This window comes from Homo sapiens, chromosome 17 (assembly GCF_000001405.40).
Source record: "Homo sapiens chromosome 17, GRCh38.p14 Primary Assembly".
In the NCBI taxonomy this organism is placed as follows: Eukaryota; Metazoa; Chordata; class Mammalia; order Primates; family Hominidae; genus Homo; species Homo sapiens.
Window position 1 is genome coordinate 45,209,485 of NC_000017.11, and position 11,864 is coordinate 45,221,348.

The window sequence follows — 11,864 nt, forward strand, 5'->3', positions numbered from 1 at the left end:
CTCTGTGGTCCAGGCTGGAGTGCAGTGGTTTGATCATGAATCACTGCAGCCTTTAACTCCTGGGCTCAAGCAATCTTCCCACCTCTGTTTCCCGAGTAGCTGGGACTACAGGTGTGCGCCACCATGCCAGGCTATTTTTATTTTTAATTTTTTTTATAGAGACAGGGTCTCACTATGTTGCCCAGGCTGGTCTCAAACTCCTGCACTCAAGCGAGTCTCCTGCCTCAGCCTCTGAAAGTGCTGGGATTACGAGCATTAGCCACTGTGTCCAGCCCCATGAATTATTTAGAAGTGCATTTTGACTTTTTTTTGAGACGGAGTCTTACACTGTCACCTGGGTTGGTGTGCAGTGGCACGATCTTGGCTCTCTGCAACCTCCGTCTCTCGGGTTCAAGCGATTCTCCTGCCTCAGCCTCCCGAGTAGCAGGATTACAGGCGCCTGCCATCACGCTCGGCTAATTTTTGTATTTTTAGTAGAGATGAGGTTTCACTATCTTGGCCAGGCTGATCTTGAACTACTGACCTCATGATCCACCCTCTTTGGCCTCCCAAAGTGCTGGCATTACAGGCGTGAGCCACTGCGCCCAGTGCATTTTGACATTTAAAAATGCATGGGGTTGTTTATTTTTAAAAATTATTGATTTCTAATTTAATTCTATTGCTGTTAGAAAATGTGGTCTATATGATATTTTGAGTTGATGGAGACTACTTGCTTTATGATCTGATATGTGGTCATTTTTGTAAATAGTCCGTGTGTATCTGAAAGTAAAAGTGTGTTCACTAATTGTTTGAACTGGAGTATTTAAAATATTCTATTAGATTATGCTTGCTGATTGCATCGCTCAAACCTTTTAAATCCTTACTGAATGTTTTGTCTGCTTGATGTACCAGATCCAGAGGGAGGTGATTTAAATCTTCCATTGGTAGATTTGTCTATTTTTCCCAGTATTTCTTTCTTTTTTTTCTTTCTTTTTTTTTTTTTTTGAGACGGAGTCTCGCTCTCTCGCCCAGGCTGGAGTGCAGTGGTGCGATCTCGGCTCACTGCAAGCTCCGCCTCCCGGGTTCACGCCATTCTCCTGCCTCAGCCTCCCGAGTAGCTGGGACTACAGGCACCCGCCACCACCCTCGGCTAATTTTTTGTATTTTTAGTAGAGACGGGGTTTCACCGTGTTAGCCAGGATGGTCTCCATCTCCTGACCTTGTGATCCGCCCCCCTGGGCCTCCCAGAGTGCTGGGATTACAGGCATGAGCCATTGAGCCCGGCCTATTTTTCCCAGTATTTCTGTTTTATGATTTTTGAAGCTATGTTATTAGGTACATACAACTGTAGAATGGATATATCTTTTTTTTTTTTTTTGAGATGGAGTCTCGCTCCGTTGCCCAGGCTGGAGTGCAGTGGCGTGATCTCGGCTCACTGCAAGCTCAGCCTCCCGGGTTCAAGCCTTTCTCCTGCCTTGGCCTCCCGAGTAGCTGGGACTACAGGCGCCCGCCACTATGCCCGGCTAATTGTTTTGTATTTTTAGTAGAGACGGGGTTTCACCGTGTTAGCCAGGATGGTCTCGATCTCTCCTACTAAAAAAATACAAAAATTAGCTGGGCATGGTGGCATGCGCCTGTAATCTCGATCTCCTGACCTTGTGGTCTGCCCACCTCAGCCTCCCAAAGTGCTGGGATTAGAGGCGTGAGCCACTGTGCCTGGCCTAGAATGGATATATCTTATTGATAGATTGAGGTAAGCAAGTATCCCTAGCATCTCTCTCTGCTGGGTAGATGTTTTTTCCATTACTATCGAAGGATATCACCTTTTGGGCACCCTTGACTTTTTCTTTCTTTCTTTTTAAAATTTTTTTTTGAGACAGGGTCTTGCTCTGTCACCCAGGCTGGAGTGTGGCGGCATGATCTTGGCTCACTCCAGCCTCTGTCTCCTGGGCTCACGTGATCCTCCCACCTCAGCCTCCTGAGTAGCTGGGACTACAGGTGTGTACCACCATGCCTGGCTAATTTTAAGTATTTTTTTGTAGAGATGGTGTCTCACCATGTTGCCCAGGCTGTTCTTGAACTCTTGGACTCAAGCGATCCTTCTGCCTCAGCCTCTCAAAGTGCTGGAATTACAGGCTTGAGCCACCACGCCTGGTTCACTCTTGACTTTTTTGAAGGGTACGTTATCTCTGATTTAATTTCCTCCTCTTTATGAGACCCCAGGCTTTGTCTTGTTCCTTTCTGGATTTGTGCCTTTGTGGAGTCTTGTTTTCTTGCTGGCTTAGCCTTGCATTGAAAATAACACACATGTCTGGGCGCAGTGGCTCACGCCTGTAATCCCAACACTTTGGGAGGCCGAGGTGGGTGGATCAGTTGAGGTCAGGAGTTTGAGACCAGCCTGGCCAACATGGTGAAACCCCGTCTGTACTAAAAATATAAAAATTAGCCAGGGATGGTGATGCACACCTGTAGTCCCAGCTACTCAAGGCTCAAGAGGCTGAAGCAAGAGAATTGCTTGAAGCCAGGAGGTGGAGGCTGCAGTGAGCCAAGATCACAACACTGCACTCCAGCCTGGGCAACACAGCAAGAGAAAGAAAGAGAGAAACAGAGAAACAGAGAGAGAGAGAAAGAGAGGAAGAGAGAAAGAGAGAGAAAGAAAGAGAGAGAAAGAGAGAAGGAAGGAGAGGGAGAGAGGGAGGGAAGGAAGGAAGCAAAGAAGCAAAGAAGGAAAGAAGGAAAGGAAGGAAGGAAGGAGACCCATATACATTTTTTTTAAATTTTTTATCTAGCATTTCTAGCTGTTTTGTACACAAGAGTTTTTCTGAACATATATAGTCCACCTTATTGCTGGAAATAAAAGTCTCTGCTAAGTGCTTTACATAAAATTGTATTGAACATTCAAAACAATTCAATAAAATCATGTCACCATTTTTTTTTTTTTTCAGAGAAGAAAACAGAGGCTCAGGGAGTTTATGACTGCATTCAGATCCTAGTTCTGACATTTACCAGCAATATGACATTGAATAAGTCAGTCACTCCAGAGGACACCGAGCTCAGTGAGCACATTGGCGAGGCCTGCCCTGCCGGGATGCTGTTTGCCTTACAGTAACACGTAGAATGCCTCAGTGTCTGGCACAGCACTGGTACTCAGAAGACGTCAGTGATGACTGCTGTCTAAAGGGAAGGGATATGTACCTGGGACATGTAGCCTGTACTCTCTTCACTGGGAAGCATTGACAAGGACAGGTCAGTAACTGACTGAATTACCTGGAGGACTTTAAAAGACACAGATCCCTGACCGTACTCCCCCCAGATTCTGATTGTGATACATGGCCGGGTTTGGGAGCCTGTGTCACTGGGGTATGGCTCATGCGGTCTTTGCTGGTCCACTCCCTGGGGCTGTCCTCTAGTGAGTTACATAGAAAGGATAGCGTTGGGTTGGGTGCAGTGGCTCACACCTGTAATCCCAGCACTTTGGGAGGCCGAGGTGGGCGGATCACAAGGTCAGGAGTTCGAGACCAGCCTGGCCAATATGGTGAAACCCCGTCTCTACTAAAAAAATACAAAAATTAGCCGGGCATGGTGGCATGCACCTGTAATCCCAGCTACTCAGGAGGCTGAGGCAGAAGAATTGCTTTAACCCAGGAGGCGGAGGTTGCAGTGAGCTGAGATCACACCACTGCACTCCAGTCTGGGCGACAGAACAAGGCTTTGTCTCAAAAAAAAAAAAAAAAAAAAGAAAGGATAACGTAGTGACTATCACGAGTTGCCAAGAAGAGGGAGAGAGCAGCCCTCGTGGTTAAATAGCAAGCAATTTGCTTTAATTTTAATTTACTTTTTTTTTTTTTGAGAGGGAGTCTCGCTTTGCCACCCAGGCTGGAGTGCAGTAGTACAATTTCGGCTCGCTGCAACCTCTGCCTCCCGGGTTCAAGTGATTCTTCTGCCTCAGCCTCTCTAGTAGCTGGGACTACAGGCACACACTGCCACACCCAGATAATTTTTGTATTTTTAGTAGAGATGGGGTTTTACCATGTTAGCCAGTCTGGTCTCGAACTCATGGCCTCAAGTGATCTGCCTGCCTCAGTCTCCCAAAGTGCTGGGATTACAGGTGTGAGCCTTGTGCCCAGCCACCTTTTCATTTTTTTGAGACATAGTCTCACTGTGTCGCACAGGCAGGAGAGCAGTGGCGCGATCTTGGCTCTCTGCAGCCTCAACTTCCCTGGCTCAAGTGACTTTCCCATCTCAGCCTCCCAAGTATCTGGGACTACAGGAGCGTGTCACCGTATATGGCTAATTTTTTTTTTTTTGAGACGGAGTCTTGCTCTGTTGCCCAGGCTGGAGTGTAGTGTAGTGGCGTGATCTTGACTCACTGTAGCCTCTGCCTCCCGGGCTCAAGCGATTCTCCTGTCTCAGCCTCCCAAGTAGTTGGGATTATAGGCACCTGCTGCCATTCCCAGCTAATTTTTGTATTTTTAGTAGAGATGAGGTTTCACCATGTTGGCCAGGCTGGTCTCGGACTCCTGACCTCAAGTGATCTGCCTGCCTCCGCCTCCCAAAGTGCTGGGATTACAGGTGTGAGCCACCGCACCTGGCTTATGGCTAATTTGTAAACTTTTTGTAGAAAGGAGGTCTCACTATATTGCCCAGGCTGGTCTCCAACTCCTGGGGTAAAGTGATCCTCCTACCTCAACCTCCCAAAGTACTGGGATTACGGGCATGAGCCACTGCACCTGACCTTAATTTAACTTTTTGAATAGGTAATATATGTACATGTTTCAACAACCAAAATGAAATATAAAGAAATTCACTGGAAAGCTCTGTTCCCACCCTGTCCTTGCCTACCCCCGCAACAGGATTCCCCAGCTCCCTATAGGTCACCCACTGTTATTGCTTTCCCTATGCAAATTCAAGCAAATATAAACATTTATTTTTATTTCCACCTCCCTTTCATTCATTGGCTACGATACTACCACTGTGCAAAGCTCTTTTCTTTTTTTTTTTGAGACAGGGTCTCACTCTGTCACTCCTGCTGTCTCCCTCTGTCACCCCTGCTGGAGTGCAGTGGTGCAATCTTGGCTCACTGCAGCCTTGACTTCCCCAGCTCAAGCAACCCTCCCACTTTAGCCTCCTGAGTAGCTGGGACTACAGGTGCGCACTACCACGTCCAACTAATTTTTGTATTTTGTGTAGAGATGGGGTTTCACCATGTTGTCCAGGCCGGTCTCACATTTCTGCAAGTGATCTGTCCCCCTTGGCCTCCCAAAGTGCTGGTATTACAGGCATGAGCCACCACATCCAGCCTCCTCTACCTGCCTTTCTTTTTCTTTTTTTTTTATTTTTTGAGACGGAATCTCGCTCTGTCTCCCAGGCTGAAGTACAGTGGCGCGATCTTGGCTCACTGCAAGCTCAGCCTCCCGGGTTTTACGCCATTCTCCTGCCTCAGCCTCCCGAGTAGCTGGGACTACAGGAGTGCACCACCTACGCCCGGCTAATTTTTTGTATTTTTAGTAGAGACAGGGTTTCACCGCGTTAGCCAGGATGGTCTCAATCTCCTGACCTCGTGATCCGCCCACCTCGGCCTCCCAAAGTGCTGGGATTACAGGTGTGAGCCACTGCGCCCGGCCTACCTGCCTTTCTTTCAAAAAAGATGACATACTATGTATACTGTTCTGAACCACATTTTTTTTTTTGAGACAGAGTTTCGCTCTTGTTACCCAGGCTGAAGTGCAATGGCACTATCTTGGCTCACCGCAACCTCCGCCTCCTGGGTTCAAGTGGTTCTTCTGCCTCAGTCTTCTGAGTAGCTGGGATTATAGGCATGTGCCACCACACCCAGCTAATTTTGTGTTTTTAGTAGAGATGAGGTTTCTCTATGTTGGTCAGGCTGGTCTTGAGCTCCCAACCTCAGGTGATCCACGGTCCTCGGCCTCCCAAAGTGCTGGGATTACATGTGTGAGCCATCGTGCCTGGCCTTTTTTTTTTTTTTTAGATGGGGTCTTGCTCTGTCACACAGGCTGGAGTGTGGTGGCACAATCACAGCTTACTGCAGCCTCAACTTCCCTGGCTCAAGCAATCCTCCCACCTCAGCTTCCTGAGTAGATGGGACTACATTCATATACCACCATGCTGTCTTTTTTTTTTTTTTCACTTTCTGTAGAGACGGAAGTCTCATTATGTTGACCAGGCTGGTCTTGAACCCCTGGACTCAAGTGATCCTCCTGCCTCGGCCTCTCACCTTGGCCTCCCAAAGTGCTGGGATTATTGGCGTGAGCCACTGCACACAGCCTGTACCACATTTTTGTTTCAAAATATATCCTGAAGATCTTTCCATTTTTCTTGGCATCCTTATTATTTTTTTTTTTTACAGCTGCATAGTTTTCCATTGTGGGGCTATATCATAATTTACTGAACCCTTCACTGTCCAATATGTAGCCACACATGGCTACTTAAATGGAAATTAATTAAAATTAAGTAACATTTATTTATTTCCTTAGTTGAACTAGCTACAGCTTGAATACTCGGTAGCTACGAGTGGCCAGTGGCTGCCATATTGGACAGGGCAGATAGAGAACATTTTCATCATTGCAGAAAGTTCTATAGGACAGTGGTTTAACTGATCCCCTAAAGCTGGACACCTAGTTTGTTTCCAGTTCTCAGGCAGCTTGGGGATGATGGGGCCCATCCCTGGAATGCAGCAGAGCTGGGTGAAAGCTGCACTGGGAGTTCTGGGCCTTCAACCTCAGACCTTGCAACCTGGGAGGCTCCTGCAAGAGGAAGGCTTTTGGATTTGGGGCAGAGGCTTGACCAGGGTCTGGAAGAGAAAGTGGCCCTAAAGAGCAGTCCTCCTTGGAGGTTGCAGTGAGCTGAGATCGCGCCACTGCACTCCAGCCTGGGCAACAGAGTGAGACTCCATCTCAAAAAAAAAAAAAAAAAGCAGGCCTCCTGTTCAAACCTAACCTTTTACCCTCTCCCTCCCAGCCTGCCAAAATGCAGCTCTGTTTCTTTCACTCAATATTTAGCAGACACTTCTTGAGTAACTCCCAAGGATGGTGTCAAGTCCTTCACTGGGGATGTAGGTATGAGAAAGACACAGTCCCTTCCTTGGAGAAACCCGCGGCCCAAAGAAAAAGACAGATCATCAACTGCTCTGTGAGCAGGACTTTTAAAGAGTCATCACCTAAGATCAAAAGGCCTGATATTAACCTGTTTGTGAGGATTTGGGGAAACAGGTGATCTCATCCGTTGTTGGGGATTGTAAATTGGTACAAAATTTTTGGAGGGCAATTCTGTGAAAACCTATAAAACATTTAAGAGCACATAATCTTTGACCCAGAATTGCCATACTTATAAATTTATTTCACACACACACATATGTCTGCAAATATATGTACCAAGATATTTCCTGTAATTAGCATTGTTTGTAGTAATAAAAGGCGGACATACATAAATATCCACTAGGAGGGGAATGGTAAATAAATTGTGACACACCATACGATGGAAAACTATGTTGACTATCTACAGGCAGGTATATTATGACATGAAAATAGCAGGTGCTGAACAGTGTAGAGCGTGTGCTATCATTTGTGTCACACACACACGCACATATACACAGCATATGCTCCAAATAGCTCTGCAAAGATACATTAGAACTGTTAAGAGGCCAGGCGCGGTGGCTCACACCTGTAATCCCAGCACTTTGGGAGGCCAAGGCGGGTGGATCACTTGAGGTCAGGAGTTCAAGACCAGCCTGGCCAACATGGTGAAACCCCGTCTCTACTAAAAATACAAAAATTAGCTGAACGTGGTGGCACACACCTGTAGTCCCAGCTACTCAGGAGGCTGAGGCAGGAGAATTGCTTGAATCTGGGAAGCGGAGGTCGCAGTGAGCTGAGATCACACCACTGCACTCCAGCCGCCTGGGCAACAGAGTGAGACTCTGTCTAAAAAAAAACAAAAACAAAAACAAAAAAACTGTTAAGAGTGGTTGCCTCTGGGGAGGGAATGGGAAACAGGGCAACAGGGAGGCTGATTGGCAAGAGATCTTTCCTTTCTTTCCCCTTCCTTCCTTCCTTCCTTCCTTCCTTCCTTCCTTCCTTCCTTCCTTCCTTCCTTCCTTCGAGATGGAGTCTTGCTCTGTTGCCCAGGCTAGAGTGCACTGGCGTGATCTTGGCTCGCGGCACCCTCCGCCTCCCAAGTTCAAGTGATTCTCCTGCCTCAGCCTCCCGAGTACCTGGGATTACAGGCACCCGCCACTACGCCAAGCTAATTTTTATATTTTTAGTAGAGACGGGGTTTCACCATGTTGGCCAGGCTGGTCTCAAACTCCAGACCTCAAATGATCTACCCACTTCAGCCTCCCAGGGTGTTGAGATTACAGGCTTGAGCCATCGCACTTGGCCAGGAGGGACTTTACTTTCTTTGCACATGCTTTTGCACTTTGTTTCTCTTTTGAACTGTGTAATAACCTTTTTCCTTTTTTTTTTTTTTTTTTGAGGCAGGGTCTTGCTCTGTTACCCAGGCTAGAGTGCAGTGATGCGATCTTGGCTCACTGCAGCCTTGACCTCTCAGGCTCAAATAATCCTCCCACCTCAGCCTCCCGAGTAGCTGGGACTACAGGTGCGCACCATCATGCCCAGCTGTTTTTTTTTTTGTTTTTGTTTTTTTTTTTTTTGCATTTTTTGTAGAGATGGGGTCTCACCATGTTGCCCAGGCTGGTCTTGAACTCCTGGGTTTTAGCGATCTTCCCTCCTCAGCCTCCCAAAGTGCTGGGATTACAGGTGCCTGGCCCCTTTTTCTTTTTTTTTTTTTTTTCCCTCAAGACGGAGTCTTGCTCTGTCGCCCAGGCTGGAGTGCAATGGCGTGATCTCGGCTCACTGCAACCTCGGCCTCCTGGGTTCAAGCGATTCTCCTGCCTCGGCCTCCCGAGTAGCTAGGATTACAGGCATGCGCCACCACACCCGGCTAATTTTTTGTATTTTTAGTAGAGATGGGGTTTCACCATGTTGGCCACACTAGTCTCAAATTCCTGACCTCGTGATCTGCCCGCCTTGGTCTCCCAAAGTGCTAGGATTATAGACGTGAGCCACCGCGCCCGGCCCCTTTTTCCTTTTTTTTTTTTTTTTTTTGAGATGGAGTCTCAGTCGGCCAGGCTGGAGTGCAGTGGCGCCATCTCAGCTCACTGCAACCTCCTCTGCCTCCCGGGTTCAAGCGATTCTCCTGCCTCAGCCTCCTGAGTAGCTGGAACTACAGGCGCGTGCCACCACGCCCGGCTAATTTTTTGTATTTTAAGTAGAGACGGGGTTGTGTTAGCCAGGATGGTCTCGATCTCCTGACCTCGTGATCCGCCCGCCTCCGCCTCCCAAAGTGCTGGGATTACAGGCGTGAGCCACCGCGCCCGGCCTCTCGTTTTCCGTTTTTAAGGAAGCTCCTACTGAGTAATGGTGAAGGGGAGAGAAGAGATCCCTGGGAAAACCTTATCAATCACCTGGGTTCTGAATATTCCCAGTGACTGCACTGAAGGTGACAACAGTCCAGAAATGTCGCCGCTGCGGTGAATCCATCCATCGCCCCTCGAAGCCTTGCCCTATCTTGGCTGTCATACCGTCTACGGCCAGCAGGGGGTAGCACAGATCCACCAATGTGTTAGTCCCAAGCTTCAGTCATCCCTTCTAGGATTTCCTCCTCTGTGGGCCAAGATGGGAAAGATACCTCCTGCCAAGCAAATGAAATTTACTACGTAATAATTGATTCCATCTTCTCATTTTTTTTGTAACTCACAGTTCTGATCAGCATGAGAGAGAGGGAGAATGAATATAGGCTTGCAGAAACAATAATTTTCCACAGAAGAGGTGTTACTTAGCCCAGCTTTATTCCACCAGGCCTTGGGTGAAGAGTGGCTGGCAATGGCTTGAGAAGCCCCCAGGATTGAAGATACAGTCTGATAACTACTGCATTCGTGGCTCCCCGCCTGGCTTGGGTTTCCAGCTGCAGGGCACGCTCCTACCCTTCTCTTTTCCTCTCACAGAAGTAGTTCTGGGCAAGAGGAAGCATGAACAGCTGGTCCCATAGGATGACTTGAAGCAGCCACTCTCCTAGAGAGGTTAAAAGTCTGTCCCTCGCTAGGCTGCAAGCAGCCCAAGGACCAAGGCATTTCTCATCTGCCACAGAATCTGCAGGACCAAGCACAGTGATGGGCATGTAGCTGATGCTAAGTAAAGGTTTATTGTTCAATTGAAAGAGACAGCCATTGAGGAATCAGGGAATCCATTCTTTAAAAAAATGTGTTTTTATTCATTAAAAAAAAAAGTCTTCCAGGCTGGACGGGGTGCCTCATGCCTGTAATCCCAGCACTTTGGGAGGCCGAGGCAGGCGGATCACTTGAGGTCAGGAGTTCGAGACCAGCTTGGTCAACATAGCAAAACCCCGTCTCTACTAAAAATACAAAAATGAGCTGGGTGTGGTGGCACGCACCTGTGGTCCCAGCTACTGAGGAGGCTGAGACTGGATAATTGCTTGGACCTGGGAGGTGGAGGTTGCAGTGAGCTGAGACCGAGCCACTGCACTCCAGCCTGGGCAACAGCGAGAGACTCCATCTTAAAAGAAAAAAAAAAGTCTTCCACGACAGTTATCTTATAGAGACAAGAAGAAGAAGAAAGAAGGAGAAGAAGAGGAGGAGGTCCTAGCTAATCTCAAGGGCAAGGACCCAAGGGCAAGGCTCTGGTCTGTCTGAGAAGGAGAATATGGCAGTGTGCAGGGAATGGATCATTTTCCCTGCATGCCCAAGGAGAATTCTGCTTTGACTCACCTTGGAGGTCCTTGGTCAGGCCACGAAACCAGTGATCACATCTCTCACCCATCTGGGGTGCTGGTGACCTTGGCAGAAGAAAGGCTTAAACCAGGTCAGCCTGGGGGAAGGGGCTGGCTCCTTCCAGGGTCTTCCTCCAGATTAGATGTTAACTCTCCGTCTCTTGCTTAAAGTCTTGTCAGTGGCTCTGAATGTGAGGGCAGAAGGAGGAGGATGCTGTCAGGGGAGGGGACACTAATGGCTCCTGACCTGGCCTAGAGATAATTCGGGGCTCCTTCAGCGGGCCCTCCCTCCTCAGTGCCCTGGAAGTGTAGGGAGGGGTCAGTTGGGGATCCCCACAAATTAAATGGGGAATGAGAGGAGCAACTGAAAGTCTCAAATTCAGGCTATAGATGGGACCCCAGCCCCCCATACTCTCCCGTCCTACATGAGATGGGCAGTGGAGGGCCAGGACAGCAACTCCAAGCCAGTGTAGGTTTTGGAGGTAGACAGTGAGGAGGCTTGCTTCTGTCCTTTGTTAGCTGAGTGCCCTTGGACAGCTTACTTACCTACTCTCAGCCTCAGTTTCCCCATCTCTAAAATAAGGCTACCAATACCTACCTTCTCTGGCCATTGTCAGGATGAATGAAAGAGCTCTGAAAGTATTTCTGTAATTAGCAGACATCAGAGATTGTTATTCTCCAAGGTAAGAGGCCCCCCTAGATCCCTGGCGGTGACAGTGTCAAGATTCTTTTTCCCTCCTCTGCGGTGCCCACTCCTTTTCCAGCCTTGTGGCTGGCTCTCATCCTCCTTTCCGCAACCCCCCACTCCTCCTTGGGACCACCTTGGCGGGCCCAGCTTCTCGCAGCCTGCCATATTCCATAGGTGCCCCCATTCTAAAACCTGTAGGGGTGCCCTGCACAGGCGCACGGTTGGTCGAGGTGGGACAGGTGGCGGGGGTCTCCACTGGCCTGCGTCCGCGCCCCCCACCCTGTTTAGGAGTTCCTGTTTGGAGATGGCTCCCCCTCGTCCTCAGCTCGTCTCTGGGCTAAGCAGGGGAGGAGAGAAATAAAAGGTGGGGGGCCTGGAAGGGGGTTCCCAC

General features: G+C 48.5%; 1 long non-coding RNA gene across 1 annotated transcript in view; it reads right to left on the reverse strand.

Moving 5' to 3' along the window:
* FMNL1-DT (FMNL1 divergent transcript) overlaps positions 1–11,864 on the reverse strand; it is a 30,835-nt gene that overhangs the window by 18,554 nt on the left and 417 nt on the right. Inside the window, exon 2 of the long non-coding RNA NR_147507.1 lies at positions 10,784–10,970. This is a non-coding gene — a long non-coding RNA (FMNL1 divergent transcript). The remainder of the gene's footprint in view (positions 1–10,783; positions 10,971–11,864) is intronic.